This window comes from Homo sapiens, chromosome 1, assembly GCF_000001405.40.
Source record: "Homo sapiens chromosome 1, GRCh38.p14 Primary Assembly".
NCBI lineage: Eukaryota > Metazoa > Chordata > Mammalia > Primates > Hominidae > Homo > Homo sapiens.
In genome coordinates, this window is record NC_000001.11 from 39,159,868 (window position 1) to 39,185,024 (window position 25,157).

The following is a 25,157-nucleotide window of genomic DNA, read 5'->3' on the forward strand; positions in this document are numbered from 1 at the left end:
GTTTTTTCAGGGATGAGGAAAGTGGCAGACAGGGTGTGGGCAGGAGATCTGTACTCCCTTCTTGCCAGGGTATGTAGATGTTTTACTTTCTTTCACTATCTGTTGAAGAACTCTGGTTCTAAGAAATATATATGGAGAGCTTTGTATGCTATAAAGGGATATACAGGTCGGGCATGGTGGCTCGCACTCGTAATCCCAACACTTTGGGAGGCTGAGATGGGAGGATCGCTTGAACCCAGGAGTTCTAGACCAGCCTGGGCAACATAATGAGACCCCCATCTCTACAGAAATGTTAAAAAATTAGCTGGGCATGGTGATATGCACCTGTACCCTTAACTACTTGGGAAGCTGAGGTGGAAGGATCACTCTGAGTTCATCTTAGAGGTACAGAACCCAAATAACACAGCAAAGAGCCCCAGAGTCTGGAGTGAGAAGAGTGCTGCTCTCTGGTGCTAGAGACCATGTGAAGAAGGGAAGAATACCCACATCTGACTAAGCATATGTGTAAATGCACCTTCCTCTCTGAGACAAAGAGCTGTAGTATGGGGCTTTAGAGTGAAGGTAATAGATCTTTTCTCTCCACACTACTACTCACCTTGAATGGAGTTCTGTTTTCTAATCTTTCATTCACTATTGTTTGCTTCATTCACTTATATACACTGTATAATAGTCTTTATAGCATAAAACATACAATATATAGCAGTTTCTCTTGTTGACCCAAAGAAAGGATCAGATTTAAACTCTTCTTTGCTCCTGCAACCTGAGTCTTTTTCAGGTGGGAGAAGTTCCTGGAAAGAGGACATGTAGTTTTTTTGGTTTAGTCCTTATCATTTTTTGGAATGTTGCTATAGGTCTTAGACAACTATTCCCCCAATTCTGGGCTGCCAGGCAGAGAGTTAGATACAAACCATTGCCTTTGTCAAATCCTCCTGTGGGTTGAGTTTCACCCACTGTGCCCCCTGATTAAGGTGAATGGTTACTTCCCTTCTTCTTTTCACTTAATATCTTTGTGTATTCCAGAAGGGCTGATGGAAAGAGGTAATTGGCTCCCCTCTTCATTTAGTTACTGACTGTTGCTTTTCTTGGCATGGTTCAGCTTGTAGACATTCCTCCATCTAGTGGGTAACTGTTGAAGGGAATCCAGTGGGAGAATAGAGACATTGTACAAGTTTTTGAAGTTCTGATCCCCAAATTCCTATGAATTTTTGGTGTTTTGATCCAGAATTGGGGTGCAATATTTTCCACTGCTCGTGCTTTTTCTGGAGGGCTTTAACTTATATTTCTCAAGCCTGTCAAAAACCTTAGTTATTGGGGTGATTTCTGGCCAGATGGACCTCTCTCATGGGTATGACAGGCTGAACTATTGGCCCGAGTCCTGATTTTTGGCAGAGTCCAGACCTGTGCCATGACTGGGATAAGTAGGTAATTAGGGATTAATTAGGGAAGCAGAGAGGTAGGTGAAGTAGAGTGGTGAGAAAGTGGTTCACTAGCCTTTACTAAGAAAAATTTATGATAGGACTATGAGATAACTGACTTTTAAAACAGAAATATAATGGCCAGGTGCAGTGTCTCATGACTGTAATCCCAGTGCTTTGGGAAGCTGAGGCAGGAGGATCAGTTGAGGCTAGGAGTTTGAGACCATCCTGGGCAACAGTAGCAAAACCCTGTCTCTAAAAACAAGCAAACAAACAAAAAAACAATACAAAAACTAGCCGGTGGCTGGGCACGGTGGCTCACACCTGTAATCCTAGCACTTCAGGAGGCTGAGGCGGGCGGATCACAACGTCAGGAGTTTGAGACCAGGCTGGCCAATATGATGAAACTCCGTCTCTACTAAAAATACAAAAAAATTAGCCAGGCGTGGTGGCGGGCGCCTGTAGTCCCAGCTACTCAGGAGGCTGAGGCAGGAGAATGGTGTGAACCCGGGAGGCAGAGCTTGCAGTGAGCAGAGATCGTGCCACTGCACTCCAGCTTGGGCGACAGAGCGAGACTCTGTCTCAAATTAATTAATTAATAATAAAATAAATTAAAAAAAAAAAACTAGCCGGGCATGATGGTGTGCGCCTATAGTTTCAGTTTCAGCTACTCAGGAGGCTGAGGTGGGAGGATTACTTCAGCTGGGGGTTTCAAGGCTGGAGTGAGCTATGATCATGCCACTGCACTACAGCCTGGGTGACAGAGTACACCCTGTCTCTCTGTCTTTTTTTTTTGCAATCTCCGCCTCCCGGGTTCAAGCAATTCTTGTACCTCAGCCTCCTGAGTAGCTGAGATTACAGGCATGAGCCACTGTGCCTGGCTAATTTTTTGTATTTTTAGTAGAGATGGGGTTTCGCCATGTTGGCCAGGCTGGTCTCAAACTCCTGACCTCAAGTGATCTGCCCGCCTTGGCTTCCCAAAGTGCTGGGATTACAGGCGTGAGCCACTGTGCTCGGCCTCTGTCGCTTAAGTAAATAGATAGATTAAAAACAAAAAAGAAGTATACCCCAACATACCTATGTAATTTTACCCTTCTCTTCCTTTGCATATACTGTCTTATTTCCTCTGCCTGGAATCCCATTATTTTTTTCTCTTTGTACCAAATTTCTGCTCATCTTTCAATGCCTAGCTCAAGTCTCACTTTCCTTCCGTAAGTTTTGTTTTTGTTTTTGTATTCCCAGTAGAATTATTCTCTCTCCCTCATCTATGTTGCCATGGCACTTTAAACATACTTGTTTTAGAGCATATCACATTATGTTTTAGTTATTTTATTAAACATTTGATTTTCCTGCTAGTCTTTACTGCTTGGTCAAGTTTTCTATAACTTTCATAGGCTTCAGTTTTTTCATTTGTAAGAAAGGGGATGATAGAATTTACTTTACAAGATGTTGTGGGGATTAAATGAGATAGTGAATATAACATCTGATGCAGACTAGGAGCCTGATAGATGTTAGCGATACTGTTTCTAAAGGCGGGAACTGTGTCTCATTTATCCTTGAGTCTCCTTTACCTAGCATAGTGCCTGGCACATAGTAAGCATAAAAAGAGTATTTGGGGGAATTGAATTGAACTAAACTCATATATTTAAATGTCCTTCAGTAGTCACCATAGGAGGTTAAAAAAATATTCTAACAATGGTGCCTATGCTGCATACTTTTATTTAAGCATGCTTTTTGTGGGTTTTCTCTTCAGTGCCAGGTTATGACCCTCATAAGAAACTCCATAGTCGCCGGGCATGGTGGCTCACGCCTGTAATCCCAGCACTTTGGGACGCCGAGGCTGGCGGATCACGAGGTCAGGAGATCCAGGCCATCCTGGCCAACATGGTGAAACCCCATCTTTACTAAAAATACAAAAATTAGCCGAGTGTGGTGGTGCGTGCCTGTAGTCCCAGCTCCTCAGGAGGCTAAGGCAGGAGAATCGCTTGAATCCAAGAGGCGGAGGCTGCAGTGAGCTGAGATCATAGGTGAGCCTGGGTGACAGAGCAAGACTGTCTCAAAAAAAAAAAAAAAAAAAAGAAAAGAAAAGAAAAAAAGAAACTCCATAGTCATTTTATAGTCATACCTAATTTTTGGTCAAAAGATGATATTACCCAAGACAAAATTAAACCCAATCTCAAAGAATGAAAATGCACTACTATTGAAAACATTGGAAAGATGGTACTACTAGTCTGTAGGTAGTTCCAGATGAGGGGTTCCAGGTATTTTGAACAGCAACAGTATTGTTGAATAAGTGGAAAAAGTGACTACTGAGAAAGAACATGGTCCTTTTTGGTTCTCTTAGTTCTGATACATTTGTCAGATCATGTTTCTCATTATCTTAGAGCTTTACTTGGGACATCCACTTAGTCTGCCTTCTGAGAAGCCTGTCCCCTGTTACCACATACAGTCAAGCAGGACAAGCTTTCACACCCCAACATACACCCTCAGAGAGTGAATTCTTTTTTTAAGGGGGTGCTTTTTTCCCCTCTTCAACTTGGCTTGGAAAAAAGACTTTTTTGACTTTTTTTCTGATGTTAAATGATGGACTACATTGTCCTTATAGAAAGCAGGGAAAAATAAACTAATAAAATCACCGAAATCCTACAAATTACTAGGCTCATATTTTGCTGTATTTCTGTCATCTTTTCTCTATCCATGTGTATATAATGTTGCTTTTATATATATCTGTTGTTGTAGTTCTCTGTCTTGCTCTTTATTATTTTGTGAGCATTCTTTATACCTTTATCTACATCATGATTTTTTACAGTTTTATGGAATTCCATCAAATGGAAGGTTCATTTATTTAACATACTCCAGTAGCGGGGCATGTACATTGCTAATTTTTCACTGCTATGATAACGAACATCCTTGTAAATAAATTTTTCTGTGCATTTCTGATTTTTTTTAAGGATGGATTTCCACAAGTGGAATCACTGGGTCTTAATACATATATTCAAAGCTCTGGATGTTGGCTTTTAATTTTATTTCACTTTTAAAGGCTACTGAGGGTAACAAGAGGCTATCTGTAACACTGAATACCTCTCTGATAGCTCTTGGCCCCTTGTCCTCTAGGGATGGCCCTGTCTTCAGGCTTAGTGGCCAGTTGGCTCAGATGTTTTATTATCCAGTTAATTTCATGGTAGAACAGGGGCCAAGTGGCCTTCTCACTTAGTCAGCAGCTCCCATCATGTCATCATCATATCACTGCACTGCTTTACTCTGAAGCTTTTCTCACAGCAACTCTAGGCATTTAAATAGCTTCATTGATCCTTCCAACCCTAGTACCCTTTTCTCTTGTAGTGGTAAGGGACCCATTAATGTTGATTGGGAAACTGCAGTAGCAAGAATGACCATCAATATTGTACAGGAATCCCACATTGGAACCCTGGATTGGTACCAGATTGAGATTCTCTTTGTTTTCTTGCTGTTACTGAGCTAGCACCGAGGTAATAAATTGGGCCAGCTTAATTTGATAAAATAGGTTGACAAACTTTACTGTGTCAACACACCCCTGCTTTGGTAGATTTCTGCCTCTGGAAGAACTAGAACTGGTGCTGTGTTTTAAATCAATGTATTACAGCCAAGTGCAAATCAGCTTCTGTTATGTGGGACTGATAGCCTTAGAGTAGAATTATAGACTTGATGAGAGTACATCCTTGTTTCTGACTTGGAGTGGACATCCTGGAGCAGATAACGTGAGGTTTTGTAGCTGATGATAGACTGGGGATATTTGGAGGTTAGCTGGAGAACTGAAAGAAGGCACATGTGTAGGACTTTGTGTGTAGGGGGCCAATAAGAAAGTCTCTGCAGCAGTTAGGATAGTGGAAAATGGCTTGAGTCACTGACAGGCTTGCGTCCTGCATCCTTCATAGTGAGAACTGTGTGCCTTTCCCATTCCCAGAGCCCTTAAGCAAAGCTGTCATAAAAGGGCGATTCTCTCCACTGCAGGGAATCTGGAAGTCTGCATGCTTCTGGGGTGAGGCCTGTCAACACCTTTTACAGCACTAGGCACCTAGTAGACCATGTGCTTATTTGGATAGTTGATAGTTTTGTCCTGTTAAAGTTTTTTCTCTCCTTAATTGTATACTTTTTAGGCTTACTGCATGTCACTGGGCTAGAGAGGGTCATCAGCACAAACTCACTTTGGGGTTGGTTTCAGTTGCTGCTGTTTTTGCAATGTGTATTTTTTTTGTTACAACTGGAGATGGTTGTTATACGATCCCTATTTCTCAAAGAGTGAGCCTGTATAGCTAACAAGCATACAATACCATTTTCCCCTCATCCTTGATTTTGTTTTCTTGTCATGTAGGCATTAGTATTGAAAGGTTAAGGCCTTCATCCTCACTATGCTGCTGTGGTTTCTATTGGTTGTTGGAGAAACCCCAGGCTGATAATACTACTTTTATGTTGATTACTCATTGTAACAACTGTGGGGATGGTACTTTCAATGAATACCAGTTGTTAAATAGCATCTTTTGCTCATTGTGGAATGGCAGGAACCTTTTGGACTTCTTGGTTTGAAATCCTTTGATTTGGAAGATCACTTTTTTACAATCTGTTATCAACTTAATTGCCTCACTCCCTGATCATGTTCCATGTTTCCTGTTGCATTTACTGGAAGTCTCCATCTCCTTCCTTCCTTTCATTGAGAACTTTCTGACAGGATACAAAGATTATTGATAGTCCCTGTCTTTGAGGGATTATCAGCCCCATATAGTTTAGTGGGGAGACTGTAGAGGGCACTAGATTTTTTTTTTTTTTTGAGATGGAGTCTTGCTCTGTCACCCAGGCTGGGGTGCAATGGCATATCTCTGCTCACTGCAACCTCTGCCTCCCAGGTTCAAGTGATTCTCCTGCGTCAGCCTCCCGAGTAGCTGGGATTATAGGCGTGTGCCACCATGCTGGTCTAATTTTTGTATTTTCAGTAGAGATGGGGTTTCACCGTGTTCCCCAGGCTGATCTTGAATTCCTGACCTCAGGTGATCTGCCCACCTTGGCATCCCAAAGTGCTGGGATTACAGGTGTGAGCCACCATGCCCTACTGGCACTAGATATTTATTTATTTATTTAACCATGCCCTGCCAGCACTAGATATTTATTTATTTATTTATTTATTTATTTATTTATTCATTCATTCATTCATTCATTCGAGATGGAATTTCGCTCTTATTGCCCAGGCTGGAGTGCAGTGGTGCGATCTTGGCTCACTGCAACCTCCGCCTCCTGGGTTCAAGCGATTCTCCTGCCTCAGCCTCCTGAGTAGCTGGGATTTGCCCACTACCACACCTGGCTGATTTTTTGTATTTTTAGTAGAGACGGGGTTTCACCATGTTGCCCAGGCTAGTCTCAAACTCCTGACCTCAGGTGACCCATCTGCCTTGGCCTCCCAGAGTGCTGGGATTACAGGCGTGAGCTGTGCCTGGCCAGCACTAGATATTTTTAAGACAGAGGAATGACATAAACAACTAGGGTGGGTATTTTTTGAGGGGTGGGGTGGGGAGAGATAACTGGCAGCAGTGTGAAAGATCATTTATAGGGATCATTTACAGGGAAGTGGGGATATAGCTAAGCCAGTAAGTATGTACCTGATTTTAGTTTGTTTAGGATGCAAAGAGGTGAGAGAAGTAAAGAGCAGGGATGTTAAATCTTTCTTTTTGATGGAGTTTCGCTCTTGTCACCCAGGCTGCAGTGCAATGGCACAATCTCGGCTCACTGCAACCTCCGTGTCCTGGGCTCAAGTGATTCTCCTGCCTCAGCCTCCCGAGTAGCTGGGATTACAGGCGCCTGCCACCACGCCCAGCTAATTTTTGTATTTTTAGTAGAGACAGGGTCTTGCCATGTTGGCCAGGCTTGTCTTGAACTCCTGACCTTGGGTGATCCACCCACCTCGGCCTCCCAAAGTGCTGGGATTACAGGCTTGAGCCACCGCACACAGCCAGGGATGTGAAATCTTTCTAAAAGAGAATTTGGGCTGGGTGTGGTGGCTCATGGCTGTAATCCAGCACTTTGGGAGGCTGAGGCGGGTGGATCACCTGAGGAGTTCAAGACCAGCCTGGTCCAACATGGTGAAACCCCATCTCTACTAAAAATACAAAAATTAGACCGGGCGCGGTGGCTCATGCCTGTAATCCCAGCACTTTGGGAGGCCGAGGTGAGCGGATCACCTGAAGTCAGGAGTTCAAGACCAGCCTGACCAACATGGAGAAAACTTGTCTCTACTAAAAATACAAAATTAGCTGGGCGTGGTGGTGCATGCCTGTAATCCCAGCTACTCAGGAGCCTGAGGCAGGAGAATCGCTTGAACCTGGGAGGCAGAGGTTGTGGTGAGCCAAGATCATGCCATTGCACTCCAGCCTGGGCAACAAGAGTGAAACTCTGTCTCAAAAAAGAAAAAAAAAAATTAGCTGGGTGTGGTGACAGGCACCTATAATCTCAGCTATTCAGGAGGCTGAGGTAAGAGAATCGCTTGAGCCAAGGCTTTGGAGGTTGCAGTGAGCTGAGATTGCGTTACTGCACTCCAGCCTGGGCAACAGGGCGAGACTCCGTCTCAAAAAAAAAAAAAAGAGAGAGAGAGAATTTGGTTTTTAAAAATATTTTATGTTGAATGTTAGCTGGAACTGGAGATCCACTTTACCCCCACAGCTCAAGTTCAGCTTGACCCTTATGTTGTGCAATGCTTTGTGTTTGGGTTGGTATTTCCTGGGACTGGTCAGGTGATGCACTTCAGCATGAGGCCTGTGTAGTAGCTGAAGAGTAGTGACCCAAGGTGTCTATCAGTGATAAGAGGAGAGAAGAAGCCCGTTTAGCTCTGGACAGGGCCTCTGTTTCCTCTGAGATCTCTTGTCTACTCTCCCTGGTCCAGGGCTCCATCTTTGCATAACTTTTTACAGATAGATTTGAAGTGCCAACTTCATTCTGTTTTGGAGTACTGGCATTGGACACAATTGATTACATCCCTGCCTGTTTAAAATATTCTCTTCTTTTACCTTCAATGAGAGTATTTCATGGTTTTCCTTAACCTATCTGATTGCTGTTTGTCTGCTTTGTTGGGTCTTTTTCTTCTTCTGACTCTTAACTGTGGCAGTTTTCTAAGGGGTAAGGCAGTGTAGTGAAGTGGGAAGAACATGGGCTTTGGATCCAGGCAGGGCTGGGTTCAAATATATGTTTTTTGTGTGTGTGCGTGTGTGTGGAGAACGGTCTCGCTATATTGCCCAGGCAGGTCTCGAACTCCTGGGCTCAAACTATCTTCCCGCCTCTGCAGAGCTCCCTGAGAGCTGGGATTACAGGCGTGAGCCACTGCGCCTGGCTCAAATCTGTGTTTCTACATTTATCAGCTGAGTGACCTGGGGCAAGTTACTCACTTTTCCTGAGCCTCAGTTTTTTCATCTGTAAAATGGGGATAATAATATCTTCCATATAAAATTATGAGGATTAAACAGAGTAGTATAAGTAAATTTTCTTATTGCCTGATTGATCGGTTGATCGTAGAGATGGGGGTCTCTGTGTGTTGTACAGGCTGGTCTGAAACTCCTGGGCTCAAGTGATCCATCCCCTTGGCCTCCTAAAGTGCTGGGATTACAGGTGTGAGCCACTGTGCCCAGCCCAAACTCAGTATTTTCAAACCAAGCTTAAATTTGGCTTTTCTATCCTAGTCCCCATTTTTTGACAGTTGAACTCACATTCTTCCAGTCTCTGAGATTAGAAACCTTGCAGACATCTGTTAACTCTTTTCTCTTCATCAACCCCATTTTCAATCTGTCATTGAGTTCTTTTGTTCTTCAGAGTTTCTCTTAAATTTGTCTTTTTCTCCCCATTCTCTATTCCATGACTCTAGTCCAGTCACTTATCACTTTGTACCTGAATTACAGCAACCGCCTCATATTTTGTTTTCTGTGTCCTGTTTCTCTCTTCAGTTAACACCGAAGTAGCAGCTACTTTCCTAGTATTTCCTATTACTGAAAGTCTAAATTTGTTACAAAGACCTTTTATGGCTGGACCTGGTGGCCCATGCCTGTAATCCCAGCACTTTTGGAGGCTGAGGCAGAAGGATTGCTTGAGGTCAGGAGTCTGAGACCAGGCTAGGCAACATAGGGAAACTGTGTCTCTACAAGAAAAAAACATTTTTTTTTAAGTAGCCAGACCTGGTGGTGTGTGCCTGTAGTCCCAGCTACTCAGGAGGATGAAGTGGGAGGATTGCTTGAAGCCCAGGAGGTCCAGGCTGCAGTGAGCCATGACCCTGTCACTGCACTGTAGCTTGGGGACAGAGCAAGACCCTGTCTCAAAAAAAAAAAAAAAAAGACATTTTATGCTCTCATCCCCTTCCTACTTAACCAGGCTTATCTCACTTATTTTCCTAGAACACACCTTCAGTTCCACACAAACCCTGTTCCTCATTGTGTCTTATCCTCCCTCATTCATTCTCTCTCCTTGCCCTTTCTTTCTTTCTTTCTTTTTTTTTTTTTTTTTGAGACTGGAGTCTCGCTCTGTTGCCCAGGCTGGAGTGCAGTGACGTGATCTCGGCTCACTGCAAGCTCCACCTCCCAGGTTCACGCCATTCTCCTGCCTCAGCCTCCCGAGTAGCTGGGACTACAGGCACCTGCCACCATGCCCAGCTAATTTTTTTTTTTTTGTATTTTTTAGTAGAGATGGGGTTTCACCTTGTTAGCCAGGATGTTCTCGATCTCCTGACCTTGTGATCCGCCCGCCTCTGCCTCCCAAAGTGCTGAGATTACAGGCGTGAGCCACCGTGCCCAGCCTCTCCTTGCCCTTTAGTTCTCTTTACCTGGAATGCCCTTGTTCTTTATACTTAACTGAAATCTGTCTATTCCTTCAAGTTTCACTTCAGGTCTTTCTTCTGATGAAGACTTCTCTGATTATCGTAGTCCAAGTTGATGTATCACTTTCCCAAGCTAGTTTTATCTATCTATTGAAATGGTAAGCTTTTTTGAGAGAACTGTTTTATAGACATTTCTATTATTCCCACGGTGCCTCGCTCATGCCTAGCCAAGTTTAAATGCTCCTTACAGAGCACTTATAAAATGTGGTGACCAAAGCCAATCACTCTTTCATTCGACAAATGTGTATGAGCACCTACCATGTGTGCTGTGCTCTGCACTGGGATCCCAGCAATAAACAACACAGAAACAAGACAGGTTATACTGTAGAGAAGGAGACACTAGACAAATATTTGTTGGTCAACAGAATTTGTGGAAGCCAGGCAGGACTCTAAGTGAGGACAAATGACAAGAAGAGGGAGAATTTAGAAAATAAGATATCAGTGAAACGACTATTATAGGAAAAAGGTGTTTAATGGATTCATTCAGCAGGTAATTTATTGAATATCCACTGATACAAATGTATTCCCAGGTATTAGGGATATACCAGTAAATAAAGCAAAGTCCTTTCCCTTGTAGAGCTTATATTCTATCATTTAGAGGCATTTTTGAAAAGCAAAGCACCTAATATTGGATGAAGCCCATCTGTGGGAGGACAGCAGTGAAGGAGTTAAAATGCTTCTAGGGCTCCAGGCTTTGTTGAAACAGATGGTTTCTTTGCACTAGGGAATGTTTTTAAGAGGGATTAGAGGACTGGGCTGAGGAAGGCCTGAGACCTCTTTCCCTCACGCCATAGCACACACACCTGCTGTTCTGGCGCCTGGTAGCTATGTAACTTGTCCCCCACTTGGTAGGCACTTGTTTGCAGGCTTGTGATTGTGACTGTAGGGCTGGCTCTAAGCTTCTGACATTTTTATTTTCCTTTCGTGATTTTTATTTGTGGTCCAACAGCAATGAAGTCCCATTTGAATTTAACAGACGTTGGGACTTGTCTGCGTTCCTTTCTGGTCCATATTTACTTTTACATAATTGTAATCTTTCTGTTTGTGTGTGTGTGTGTGTGTGTGTGTATGTGTGTGTGTATTTTTCTCCCGATCCAGTTTTATTGTGGTAAAATACACATGACAAAAAATTGATCATTGTAAGTACTTTAAAGTGTACAGTTCATTGACATTAAGTACATTCACAATATTGTACAAACACCATGACTATTGAATTGCAGAACTTTTTCATGATCCCAAATGGAAATCCCATATCCATTAAGCAGTAATTCCCCTTCTCCCCAACCCCTGGCAACCACTAATCAGCTTTGTGACTTGCCTGCCCTGGATTTGCTCATTCTGGATATTTTATATAAATTTAGTCATGTGGCCTTTTGTCTCTGGCTTCTTTCACTTAGCATATGCACATATTTACATGCCTTTTCCATGTAACATTATAAGGATTTTTTAAGTGTTTCGTTACAGACATTATAATTTTCTTTTTTGGACACAGTCTCGCTCTGTCGCCCAAGCTGGAGTGCAGTGGTGCTATCGCGGCTCACTGCAACCTCTGCCTCTCGGGTTCACGCCATTCTCCTGCCTCAGCTTCCCGAGTAGCTGGGACTACAGGCACCCGCCACCACGCCCGGCTAATTTTTTTGTATTTTTAGTAGAGACGGGGTTTCACCATGTTAGCTAGGATGGTCTCGATCTCCTGACCTCGTGATCCGCCCGCCTCAGCCTCTCAAAGTGCTGGGATTATAGGCGTGAGCCACCACGCCCGGCCCAGACATTATAATTTTAAGTTATCTTGTTGATAATGGCTTCATTTAGCCATTCATTTATTGTTGAATATTTGGATTGTTTCAAGTTGCTATTATTTTTTAAAATGCTACGGTGGAAACCTCCCTGAGTGTGCTCTGCCATCTTTCAGGGGACTCTGAATGTTGCACATCAGCTGCAGAAGAGCCATTGTGCTTGATTTAGGATAGTGTGGACTGTTATCCAGCTCTGTGGGAGGACAGTCAAGTAATGAATTTTATATAGAAGGGAGCATTATTCTTTGCAAAATAAGACCATGTTATCCAGGGAGTGGCAGGGAAAAGTTTTTTTTCCCCACTGCCTAGAATTCTCTGATAATCCCTCTATCCCTTTGGCTGTAGGAAAGAATTGATTATAGCAGTTGAAGATGAAATGTTTTATTCATTTATTCATTCAACAAATATTTGAGAGCCTACTATATGCCAGACATTTGAAACTTGCTCATGGGTTGAGCTTGGCTAAACAGTGCCTTTCACTCCCTGGGCCTTTCATACCTGCCTGGGAACAAGAATAGGACCTACTTCCAGAGTAATCAGAGAGGATCCAGAGGTCAGAGCCATGTGGGGCCTTATTACCTCATGGTTTAACTCCTCAAGATTTGGTACCATTATAGATACTAATCACACATTAATTTGTCTGCTCACTCTGGGGATTTCAAGGCCAGGCTGCCACTTTTCATACGTGGCTGTTCTTGTTCACCACTCTAACAGAGTCCTGGCTGCTAGGAGATGAGCCATCAGGCCTGTGCCCTCTTAGTAGTTTTGTTCACTATATCCTGGGCAAGGCAGCAAGGAGAAGGTGCTTACTGACTGAGTATAAAAGCTTCAGAGACTTTATTATAGTAACGTTACTGTGTTCATGCAAGGGGTGAGGTTGGCATGTCACAGATTCTGAGTTAGCCCAGATATACTTGGGTTAGTGCTGCTGGGGCCTTCTTGCCTTCTGGCAGACAGCCCTCCTCCCTTTTTTGTCCTTGCTGACCCATTTAACAGAATACTTTTAATTTCTCTCTACCTTGCTAGGAAAATAAAGACCACTTAGGACCATTCAGGGCCACACACTGCTTACAAAACCCAGTGTGGAGTAGAAAAAGCACTGGAGGCCGGGCGCGGTGGCTTTGCCTATAATCCCAGCACTTTGGGAGGCCGAAGCGGGTGGATCACAAGGTCAGGAGATCGAGAGCATCCTGGCCAACATGGTGAAATCCCGTCTCTACTAAAATGCAAAAAATTAACTGGATGTGGTGGCGCATGCCTGTAGTCCCAGCTATTCGGGAGGCTGAGGCAGGGGAATCACTTGAACCTGGGAGGCGGAGGTTGCGGTGACCAGAGATTGCACCACTGAACTCCAGCCTGGTGATGGAGCCAGACTCCATCTCAAAAAAAAAAAAAAAAGAAAGAAAGAAAGAAAAAGCACTGGAAACAATTGCTAGATCTTAAACATTCACTTAGGAAATGCCAAACCTGTAGATTTGGAGTAAGAAGCAGAGAGGCTAGTGAGAGAGTTCAGGGTTTAGGCCTGATTTCTATCCTCTTCCACCTACCACTTGTTGCATTTCCTTCACTGTCAGAATTTGATTGTTCTGTGTCTGTATCTTCAGATGTGTTTTTCCTAGTGTATTTGAAAAACTGTTGAACAGTCCCCTCTGGGCAGGGAGGGAAGAGGGTTAGACAATCAGGAGTAGAGACTCTGTTATTTCTCTCTCCAGACCTAGACCCTGGAGTTAACTGAAGGTCCAGAGTTACTGAGGGGCGGCTGTGTTTGTTTTTCAGTAGGCTGGCTTTACTGAGTGGGATACAAGAGCCCAAAGCACAGGCCATTCCCAGAAGCCTAACATTTTCATATTTCTTTCTCTGCCAAAGAATCTTTGGTTAGGGTTAAGAATAACTAGTCTGTCTGTGGAAATACCAAGGCCTTTTGTTTGCCAGAAGAAAAGCGCTTTTGATTAAGGCTGCCTTTTCTCTCTCTCTTTTTTTTTTCTTAAGCTGTTGTGGGAAGACTTCAGAGCCTCTGAAGGTGCCGTATTTAAGGGGTGTAGGGGAAGGAATGATAGCTAAATAGAACTAAGGGAGACTTAATCGTGCTTTACCGCACATTTGTGCAGAGATTAACAACAGCAACAAAATCTACCCAGTTTTTGGTCATTGCTTCTACTAGCCTTTCTTTCTTCCTGTCTTTTATGAAATCTACCCAAAACAGTAGTTCCCAAAGGACCTGCTGTACTGATCTGACCTTGAATCATACTCTATCACTTAGTGTGATTTGGGGCATGTTACTTAACTTTTCTCTTTAGGCTAGAGTTTTGCAACTATAAAATGGGGATTATAGTAGACCATTTTCATAGGGTTATAATGAGAATTGAATGAGTTAATATGTGGAAAATACTTAGGACAGTGCCTGGCACATAGTAAGAGCTTATCCCAGTAAATATTACTGCTACTGTGTATGGCAAATGCTGAGTGTAGCTTTATTTTTTCGATTAGTAATTCCAAATGTGGCTTTCTAGGGTTAGCAAAGTCAGGGCTTTTTTTTTATAGAATGAAAAGGAAGCAGACATTCCCATTAGGCATTAACTTTTTATCAGTCAGAGGCAAAGGGAAAGATTTATTCTCTGTGTGGACGCATCATAGAGGCTCAGTGTCTTCTTAGTTGAATGTCAACAAGGGAATCAATTTCATCATGAAGAACTACTCTTTGGCAAAAGCAAGGGCGAGGGTTGGGTTGTGTACTTTCGTAGTCTTTGTCTGAGAGTAGTGATGTTTCTTGTGCCCCAGGAAAGCTTGAACCAAGGTATAGAGAAAGGGCCCCTGATCCTCCAAATTTACAGTAGTAAGAGAAGCAAGAAATATCTTAGTAGGAAAAGGGGAAACCCTCAGGGCTGGGTCTCGTCCCAGTGACTCTACTACCAGGTCTGGAGAATGTCACTAGTGGAGGCTCTGGGCAAGTGCCTGGCCACTGCATTTCCCTGGCCATAGTAAGAGATGTGCAGAATGACCTGCCCTAAGTCTCTGGGCTGTTTGTTTTATAAACTGCTACCTTCTTCCCCAAATTGCTGGGAGTGGCTAAGGAAGTGGCACAGAAATTTAGATTTTTGTGTCTTTCTTGCCCTTTTCTGTATTGTCTTTAGTTTTTAGAAGGACTTTCTTGGCTGCCTTCTCCCTCCCCCACCTTGCTCCATCCTCTCTTGCAAAGTAAAATCTCATCTTCCTGCAGGAGGTTAGGTTGTAAAGTTTACACATAAAGTGAGGATTCCAAATAATCAAAATTATCATGGAAAATATCTCAAATGACCCAGAAATTAAAGTATATAAACATGGTTTTGTGTATATGCCAGAACAAAGTTGGAATACCATATGAAATAGTTGGCCTGTAATTAGGAGACATTTTATATGAAAAAATAAGTATTCTCAAAAACTAGAATCATGTACAGCATTCAGAATGCTCACAATGTGAAGAGGCACACCGGACTTAGACATGCTAAAGTCTCAGATTCAAGTCCTCTCATCTCATGCTCATGTTCATCCTGGTAAATAACTTCACTTTGGTGTAAAACCTCATTGAGTGGAATTGTGAGCAAACTTTTGTACTGTTTATTTTTCTCTTCCTGGTCAAGTTTGCATAGTTAAATGCAAGTATGTTGTGATTGTATTTTATCCTTCTTTTCTGCTTTCTGTTTTTCTAATTTCTTCTTCCCTTTTAAAAATCCTCACTGCCGGGGGCAGTGGCTCACACCTATAATCCCAGCACTTTGGGAGGCTGAGGCAGGCGAATCACTTGAGGCCAGGAGTTTGAAACCAGCCTGGCCAACGTGGTGAAAGCCTCTCTCTACTAAAAATACAAAAATTAGCCGGGTGTGGCCAGGTGCAGTGGCTCACGCCTGTAATCCCAGCACTTTGGGAGGCCAAGGAGGGTGGATCACAAGGTCAGGAGATCAAGACCATCCTGGCTAACATGGTGAAACCCTGTCTCTACTAAAAATACAAAAAAAAAAAAAAAAAAATTAGCCAGGTGTGGTGACGGGCACCTGTAGTCCCAGCTACTCGGGAGGCTGAGGCAGGAGAATGTCATGAACCCGGGAGGCGGAGCTTGCAGTGAGCTGAGATTGCGCCACTGTACTCCAGCCTGGGCGACAGAGCGAGACTCCTTCTCAAAAAAAAAAAAAAAAAAGCCAGGTGTGGTGGCAGGCGCCTGTAATCCCAGCTACTCAGGAGGGAGGCTAGTGCAGGAGAATCACTTGAACCCGGGAGACCCAGGTTGCAGTGAGCCGAGATCACACCTCTGCACTCCAGTCTGAGTGGCAGAGTGAGACTCTGTCTCCAAAAAAAAAAAAAATTCTCACTTTCTTCTTCTAAATCCATTTTATAGCACACAACAATTCTTCTCTTACCCAGAATGCTTATTTGTGTGTTAGCTTGTCCCATTTCTTAGTCATTTTCGTTATTCAAAATTATTTAAAGGAGAATTGAGAGTAGGAAGGGAAGACTTCTAATAGTCCTCTTCGTTTAAATTCTGTAATCATAGCTTCCACTCTCCTCCTTTTAGGTCCTCTAACTTTTGATTCTTATACCTTGCATATGAGGCTCTTTCCTTCTTTTTCCCCCCATTTTAGTCATTTTTCTGTAGAAAATTTCTGCTTATGCTTGGGGAGCTAGATATGAATTCTTGTTATACTTACTAAGCATCACTGGTTCTATCTCTAGATGTTTAATAGTCAGGTTTTTAGATCAATAGGTTTTTAGATCAATCCCAAATTCATAGTGTCATGAAAAGATAGATGAGGAACTGAGCCCACCTGGAGAAGTCAAAGGATACTTGGGCCAAGTGATATAACTAGTTATTGACAAGCTTAAACCATGACCCAGGGTTCTGATGTACAGTTGAATGCCTTTCCTCCAAATCACATTGCTTGCTGTTGAAGCCTTGGCTAGGAGTAATCTTTAGTAAGATCCTTGAATTGTGACTTTTTTTCTTTTGTTTAATTTTATTACAGTTCCTTCCTTTAACAAAAATGCTAAGTAATATAAGCTTTAAGAGGGTTAAAATTAGTCCGGTTTCAAAGATATATTTGAGAATTATGTAGTATCTCTTGAGATAGTCTAGAGATCTTAGAGCTACGTTGGGGCCTAAGGACTGAGAATCGCTGTCATCAGACTAGAGGTTTGAGAAAAGGAGATTTTTATTTATTTATTTTTGAGACCTAGTTTCGCTCTTGTTGCCCAGGCTGGAGTGCAATGGCGCAATCTTGGTTCGCCACAACCCCCGCCTCCCAGGTTCAAGCGATTCTCCTGCCTCAGCCTCCTGAGTAGCATGTGCCACCACGCCCAGCTAATTTTGTATTTTTAGTAGAGACGGAGTTTCTCCGTGTTGGTCAGGCCGGTTTCAAACTCCTGACCTCATGTGATCCACCCGCCTCGGCCTCCCAAAGTGCTGGCATTACAGGCGTGAGCCACCTTTCCCGGCCTAACTACTGTTTCTATAGAAGGAGTTTTCCAGATTGATGCCTAATGTACAAATAACTGCATCATCAGTCCCTGGCTGTCATCATTTTGCTGTGCAAAAAGGGAACATCAGAGAGGGGTCCAGGAGCCACTCCACATATCATTCGTAAATGTTATTGCTAATGGAGAGAGGGATGATGGTGGGGGCAGGCGTATTTGTGTTCATAGAGGAAGGTAGGACTGTAATCTCCATGCCTAGTTTCTGATTGGCATTGATAATATAACCATCTTTCAGAGAGTCAGCTCCAAGAGGTAACTGGGAAACATCTCAGTTTTGCTCCGGGCACTATTTCCTTTGCCATCTATACCAGAAGCTGTGGTGAATGGGAAAGCCATTGCTTTCTGAAGTGCCCTTAGGCCTTTCTCAGTGACTCTTAAGTTTTAAGAATCATTTGGGTGAGCATAATGCTGAAATCCTGTAGCTATGAAAGCTGCACTGCCATGGCAATAAAACTCCCCATTGAATAAGTAAAATGGCAATTTCCAGGAATCTGGGTGGTAGTTATTTCAATCAAGTTGAGAAATGGGATCACCGAGAGGGGGATTTCCGCAGAATCTGGGCTGTCAGGGAAATCTTTAGGCTGTCAGGGAAATCTTTATTCCCCATTGTCTTCTCCTTACAAATTCCAGGAGAGGAGTATGAGGTTATATTTGTGTCCTCAGTAAGCCCATAAAGGTCAGCCAGTGTGCTACCTTACATTGTAATTTTCCTTTTCAACATTCTTTTTTTTTTTTTTTTGGTTAAATTTTACTTTAAGTTCTGGGATACATGTGCAGAATGTGCAGGTTTGTTACATAGGTATACATGTGCCATGGTGGTTTTCATTCGTTTATGTACTGAACATAATCTTAGTACCTCACAGACAGTGCACATGTACTAACACCTTTCCTGAAACCTTAAAATATAAGAAATATAGAAATACAGGTAGTTTGTAAGTCTTTGCTCTTGGGGAAGCCAATTTTGGATTTCCTTTGTCTTTTTGTCCTATCATACTCCTTGAAAGGGGTAGTAAAAGCATTTTTCTCTTTTTCCCTCTCTGTAGTTCACCCCAGTGGGGCACATAGTTGCTGGATTCAGCAACGTTCTTTCCCAAATGATTCTTAAGGCATGCGGGTCACTGAGGTTTATTTTTAAATCCATAACCCAGGGTTCAGCAGTTGTCCTTACTGAATTCCCGTGTGGAGGCTTTCAGCTGCCCAGACACCCCCACGTCTTTACTGGGCACATTCCAGCAGTCCTAAAGTCCTGACCCTCAGGAGTGAAATTCTGGTCTGGTGTCTCACTCCTGGAATTCCTTCATGAGGCATGGCTATGGCATGAATCAGGTGTCAGATTGGAAAGCCAAGAGATCAGGTGGCTTGTGATCATAATATAAAAAATTTCTAACTGGTAAAATGGTTTTGGAGACTTAATGCGTATTGAAAGTTTCTTTCTGCTTTATTGTCAGCCTTAGCCGCCTCTTGATGGTCTCTTTAGTTCCTTTCCTGGATTGTCTAGGAGCATGCTGGAGGCAGTCAGAACATAAGGAGTTAAATTGCAGTGAACTTATGGAGAATGATTAAACAGTGATTAAGTGATATTTTAACTTCTGTTTACAGGGGAGAAATGGATGTCATCAGGAAAAGGGTTTGTTTGCAGTTTTGACTGAAGTCATCTTATCTTAGCCAGGGCTGCCTGCCCTTATTCAATTTCATTTTTAGCTGCAAGGTGAACTCCCCCACACACTTATTTTCTGATGTCCATCTTTGTCTTTGCTCATATTCCACCCCTTCCTTTCTTTCCCCAGACCCCGTGTTGCTCTAGGAAAACTTGCTCCACTCAGAACAGAGTTGGGGTGGGACTTAGCTGCCCTTCTGCATCTTCTGTTTCTGGAAGTCTTTGGGATGAACCATACATGGGAGAGTCAGGATACTGGAATGCCATTGAACTAGTGGAAAAAGCACTAGATAGGCAATTGAAGAGGCCTGGGTTTGAATTCCAGCTCTGCTACTTATTAGCTATGTGATCTTGGACAAATTACTTAATCTCTGTAAGTCTTAGTTTCCTGTTCTGTAAAATGGAGGTGATAATTTCTACCTGAAAGAATAGGAATTAGAGAGGATTAGAGTTATATATGTAAAGAGCATTGCCTGACACACACACAGTAGGCATTCAATTATGTGTGATCAAAGAGGTCAGAGTTGATGGTAGAATTTAGACTGTCTCGGTTAGCCTTTTGCCTGTTTTTCCCAGTGCTAATTGTATAGTTTATATATTATAGTTTAAAGTTATGCTGCCAGGCGCGGTGGCTCATGTCTGTAATCCCAGCCCTTTGGGAGGCCGAGGCAGGTGGATCACTTGAGGTCAGGAGTTCGAGACCAGCCTGGCCAACATGGTGAAACCCCGTCTCTACTAAAAATACAAAAATTAGCCAGGTGTGGTGGCACACACTTGTAATCCCAGCTACTCACGAGGCTGAGGCAGGAGAATCACTTGAACCTGGGAGGTGGAGGTTACAGTGAGCTGAGATCACACCACTGCACTTCTGCTTGGGTGACAGAGCAAGACTCTGTTTCAAAAATGAAATTTTAAAAAAATGAAGTTATGCTCTCCTTTGCTTTTATTACAGTCTAGTAAGGAGCTTGGAGGGCTTTTAGACCCCCATAATCTCCATCACCCTCCTCAAAGCTGCTCTAAATAAACAAATTTAAGTAAAAAGTATTTGTTATATAAATGCAGGATGAAGACTTATTATGATGGCTTTTCCTCTTTCAACCAGATTGCAAGATACAAGCCTATTTTTAATAAAATTTCTGGTTCCCTACTCTGGTACTAATGCAAAGATTTATTTTTCTTAGGGATGAGTTGTGGCCAATTGATATAAAAGGAGATATAGGCCAGGCATGGTGGCTCGTATCTGTAATCCCAGCACTTTGGGAGGCTGAGGCAGGTGGATCACTTGGGGTCAGGAGTTCAAGGCCAGCCTGGCCAACATGGTGAAACCCCATCTCTACTAAAAATACAAAAATTAGCAGGGCGTGGTGGCTCATGCCTGTAATTCCAGCTACCGGGGAGGCTGAGACAGGAGAATCGCTTGAATCTGGGAGGCAGAGGTTTCAGTGAGCCGAGATTGCGCCACTAGACTCCAGCCTGGGCAACAGAGCGATACTCCACCTCACACGCACACACACAAAGAAGATGTACTTTCTTCTTTTGATACTTTTTTACATATTTGACGCATTTGTGATAGAGAAATGGATTATGATTATTCTATCCTTCTTCCTTTTACTAAGGTAGAATGAGCCAAGGTCAGTGGGGCCTGACGGATCTCAGGGCCTTTGCTGTTCCTCTCATCCCTGGCTATGGTTGGCTAAGTCTCTTTTTCTTAGGTCTCAGGGTGTTCAGCTGTTTTGGGAACTTGTTGAAAATTGTTGCTTTGCAGTACAAAAGACACTCTGTTACTTTTTAATCAATATCTTTTTTTTTGAGACAGGGTCTGGCTCTGTTGCCCAGGCTCGACTACAGTAGCCCATCTCTGTTCACTGCAGCCTCTGCCTCCCGGGTTCAAGTGATTCTTGTGCCACAGCCTCCTGAGCAGCTGGGACTACAGGCGCGTGCTACCATGCCCAGCTAATATTTTTGTATTTTTAGTAGAGATGGGATTTTGCCACGTTGTCCAGGCTGGCTTCGAACTCCTGGCCTCAAGCGGTACACCCGCCTTGGCCTTCCAAAGTGCTGGGATTATAGGCGTGAGCCACTGCGCTGGGCCAGTAATCAGTATCTTTTTAGCATATTACTTATTTTGGGGGGATCCTCCAAATCAGGGGTCTCCAGTGTGCTAAATATTTGATAGAGCATAGGGAAATTTGAGTATTTTAGTTTCCGAGTATTAGTAAAGAGTGGCTCACATTGCCTTTTACTTTATACGTTCATGCATTGGAAGACTTAATATTGTTAAGATGGCAGCACTCCCCAAACTGATCTATAGATTCAATGCAATCCCTGTCAGAATCCCAGTGGGGTTTTTTCTTCTTCTTTCTTCTCCTCCTCCTCCTCTTCCTCTTATTCTTCGTCTTCCTCTTCCTCCTCCTCCTCTTCTTCCAGAAATTGGCAAGCTGCTCCTGAAATTCATGTGAAAATGCAAGGGACCCAGAATAGTCAAAACAATCTTGAAAAAGAACAAAATTGGAGGACTCACACTTCCAGATTTGAAAACTTACTACAAAGCTACAGTAATTAAGACAGGATGGTACTGGCATAGGGATAGACATATAGATCAATGGAATAGAATTGAGAGTCTAAAAATAAACCCTTACATTTATGGTAAATTGATTTGTGATAAAGGTGCCAAGACAATTCAATGTAGAAAGAATTGTCTTTTCAACAAATTATACTGGGACAACTGGATATCCATATACAAAAGAATGAAATTGGCCAGGCGTTGTGGCTCACGCCCATAATCCCAGCACTTTAGCAGGCAGAGGTAGGTGGATCACGAGATCAGGAGTTCGAGACCAGCCTGGCCAACATTGTGAAACCCCATTTCTACTAAAAATACAAAAATTAGCTGGATGTGGTGGCGGGCACCTGTAATCCCAGCTACTCGGGAGGCTGAGGCAGGAGAATCGCTTGAACCCGGGAGGCAGAGGTTGCAGTGAGCTGAGATGACGCCATTGCACTCCAGCCTGGGCAACAGAGCAAGACTCCACCTTAAAAAAAAAAAAAAAAAGAATTTAAACCCTGACCTCACACAACATATAAAACTTAACTCAAAGTGGAACATAGACCTACATATAAGAGCTAAAATTACAAAACTATTAGAAGAAAACTTAGGGGTAAATCTTTGTGACCTTGGATTAGGTAGTGGTTTCTTGTAGCTAACACTGAAAGTATACACAAAAAAGAAAAAAATAGAGAAATTATACTTGATCAAAATGTAAAACCTTTGTGCTTCAAAGGACACTACCTAGAAAATGAAGACACCTCACAGAATGGGAGAAAATATTTGCAAATCATATATCTAATAAGGGACTTATATCCAAAATATATAAAGAATTCTTTGAACTCAACAGTAAAAAGAAAACCCAATAAAAAAATGGGCAAAGGATTTATATAGCCATTTCTTCAAAGAAGATATACAAATGGCTAATAAGCACATGAAAAGATGCTTAGATGCTTAACATCATTAGTTATTATGGAAATGCTAATCAAGATCACAATGAGATACCACTTCATACCCACTAGAATGGCTTTAATAAAAAAGAGAGTGAGGATGTGGAGAAATTGGAACACCCCCAACATTGCTGGTGGGAATATAAAATGGTGCACCTGCTTTAGAAAACAGTTTGGTGGTTCTTCAAAAAGTAGAGTTGCCACATGACCCAGCAATTCCAAAGTATATATCCAAAAGAAATATTATATTCATAGAATATAGAAAACATATATTCATAGAAAACTCGTACATAAATGTTCATAGCAGCATTATTCATAGTAGCCCCAAAGCAGAAACAGCTGAAACATCTATCAACTGATGAATGGATAAACACACTGTGGCATATCCATACAACAGAATATTATTTGTCAGTGAAAAGGAATGAAGTACTGATTGATGCTAACATGGATCAACCTTGAGAACATTAGACTAAGTGAAAGAAGCCAGACACAAAAGGCTTGTATGATTCCATTTATACCATTTATACATAATAGGCAAATCCATAGAGACCATAAGTAGATTAGTGGTTGCTAGGGGTTGAGGAGGGGCGAATGGGAAGTGACTGCTAATTGATATAGGGTTTCTTCAGGGGGTGATGGAATGTTCTAAAGTTAGATAATGGTGATGGTTGAACAACTCTGTGAACATACTGATACTTAAATATCCATTGAATTGTTTACCTAAAAAGGGTGAATTTATGTTAACCAAATCTCAGTGAAGCTGTTATAAAAATATTAGGCTGATTTGTAGGTATGAATAGTATTTGTCTGTTTGTATTGGGCCCCTTATTGCTGCCACTGAGAATCTTGAAGTTGTCTTGAATATTTTGCTTCAGAACTGTCACTGTCTTGAGCAGGCAAGTTACTGTTGCCCCAAATCTTCAAGGTGAGAAACAGGTTTGCAATCATTTTTTTGCAGGAGAATACATGATGGCACTTTATATCAGGAAGCGAACTTTTAAGGTGAGCACTCTGAAGTTGAAGCATTTCCAAGTTTTAAGTGGGACTGTGCCCTACCTTAGTTCTTACTTCATCCTTTAAACTGTGTGTCACACTGGAGTAGGCAGTTTCCCAGCCCCATACCCAGCTCCACCAAGATCCTCACTTCTTTCATCATTTGCCCATTTTTCCCCAGGCTATGTTTGATCTTGCTCTGAGGCCTTCTTTCTTGGGAGGTATAGCGAGAGTAGCTGCAGAAACCTCTGGGTGGCACCCTGCCCCCACAGGATTACCAAAGAATGACATGTGTGGAAGAGGCTCAGGCCTGTGTTGGCAGGAAGAAGTGACTCATTTTTCATCAAAGGAATTTCAAAGAACATATAATGACAGGATGATGTCACAGGAGCAGGTGGAGACAGGAACCTTGATTGAGCTGCTGGAAGATATTAAATGGTGTGGCTGCCTGGGCAGTCAGAATGATTGACCAGCATAAATCACAGGAAACATCACCTGTTTTTTAGTTCCTATTTCATGAGCCCTGGTGTGGGCAGTGCTGTTCATGTGCCCTCAGAGCATATGGTTGAGTCTATGCATGTCTTGGGTATACTGTGTTTGTATCTGGGTGAGATGGCTCACAACATCCTGTGCTAGTCATGGACTTCTTTTTCATGCAGGGCGGCGTGTGTGGGTTCCTGCACTGTGTGCCTCAGTTCTATAGCTAGCAGGGTCTGTGTCTTGGAAATGAGCCTCACATGGTCATACTGGCTGGTTTGAAGGCATGACATTTCCTCTGACATATTTAGAGAGGGGAACTTGCCTTGACATCAGAAGGTCAGATCTCAGAATTTTTTACCTTATTGCCAAAAGTACCCTAGTTCCATCTAGTATTTTGGCAAGAGCTAGATCTTTGCTCAAAGCCCAGTTAAGTCTTGTGGTGGTGGTGTTTTTCTTCTTTGAGTAGAGGGCCCTCCAATGGTGTTGTATGGTTGAAGCTGATAAGGTGAGGCGGAGTGTGGTGGCGGGATGGAGAGTTTCAGTCAGGATAAGTCTTAGTATCTTTTCATATCGCAAAGCAGTAAAGTTGGTTAGGTTATTCAGGCTGTTATTTATATTAAGATTGTGAAAGAGTGCTCCTGGTCATCATCATGCACCTACCAGAGTCTGTGTGATTATGAGGTTGGAGGCTAAATTAGCCATTTACACAAAGATAAAAGAGAGGCTAGCATTGATAATATTCTGCCTCAGGTTTCAGGCCTCTCAAGGAAGGTCTTAGGAGAGATGGCTTAGCAATATCAATTGCTGCCTTTGTGCTTATAACTCGTTCATCTGAAGATGGCCTGGAAAAAGGGACTTTTAGGCTGCATAGGACACCACCAAAAAAGTAGAAGATACTACCTCTCTTTAAGATGTATCAGGGCTGGTGCTGGGCGTGGTGG

The 25,157-nt window shown here is 42.7% G+C and overlaps 1 protein-coding gene across 1 annotated transcript in view, besides 6 other annotated features; it reads left to right on the forward strand.

The window, feature by feature from the left end:
* MACF1 (microtubule actin crosslinking factor 1) overlaps window positions 1-25,157 on the forward strand; it is a 402,972-nt gene that overhangs the window by 75,701 nt on the left and 302,114 nt on the right. The gene's annotated exons all lie outside the window — the stretch shown is intronic.
* Window positions 11,926-12,452: an enhancer, noted in NCBI's record as "H3K27ac-H3K4me1 hESC enhancer chr1:39637465-39637991 (GRCh37/hg19 assembly coordinates)". NCBI's record gives its function as "activates a minimal SCP1, AML or CMV promoter by ChIP-STARR-seq in primed H9 embryonic stem cells {active_cell/tissue: H9 hESC(primed)}" and the evidence as "EXISTENCE:reporter gene assay evidence [ECO:0000049][PMID:30033119]".
* Window positions 23,274-24,473: an enhancer, noted in NCBI's record as "P300/CBP strongly-dependent group 1 enhancer chr1:39648813-39650012 (GRCh37/hg19 assembly coordinates)". NCBI's record gives its function as "activates an origin of replication core promoter dependent on BRD2, BRD4, P300/CBP, MED14 and CDK7 cofactors, with strong dependence on P300/CBP, by STARR-seq in HCT116 cells {active_cell/tissue: HCT116}" and the evidence as "EXISTENCE:reporter gene assay evidence [ECO:0000049][PMID:35650434]".
* Window positions 23,274-24,742: a biological region, named in NCBI's record as "P300/CBP strongly-dependent group 1 enhancer GRCh37_chr1:39648813-39650012".
* Window positions 23,714-24,228: an enhancer, noted in NCBI's record as "H3K27ac hESC enhancer chr1:39649253-39649767 (GRCh37/hg19 assembly coordinates)". NCBI's record gives its function as "activates a minimal SCP1, AML or CMV promoter by ChIP-STARR-seq in primed H9 embryonic stem cells {active_cell/tissue: H9 hESC(primed)}" and the evidence as "EXISTENCE:reporter gene assay evidence [ECO:0000049][PMID:30033119]".
* Window positions 23,983-24,252: an enhancer, noted in NCBI's record as "active region_805". NCBI's record gives its function as "activates an Ori minimal core promoter by ATAC-STARR-seq in GM12878 lymphoblastoid cells {active_cell/tissue: GM12878}" and the evidence as "EXISTENCE:reporter gene assay evidence [ECO:0000049][PMID:35858748]".
* Window positions 24,229-24,742: an enhancer, noted in NCBI's record as "H3K27ac hESC enhancer chr1:39649768-39650281 (GRCh37/hg19 assembly coordinates)". NCBI's record gives its function as "activates a minimal SCP1, AML or CMV promoter by ChIP-STARR-seq in primed H9 embryonic stem cells {active_cell/tissue: H9 hESC(primed)}" and the evidence as "EXISTENCE:reporter gene assay evidence [ECO:0000049][PMID:30033119]".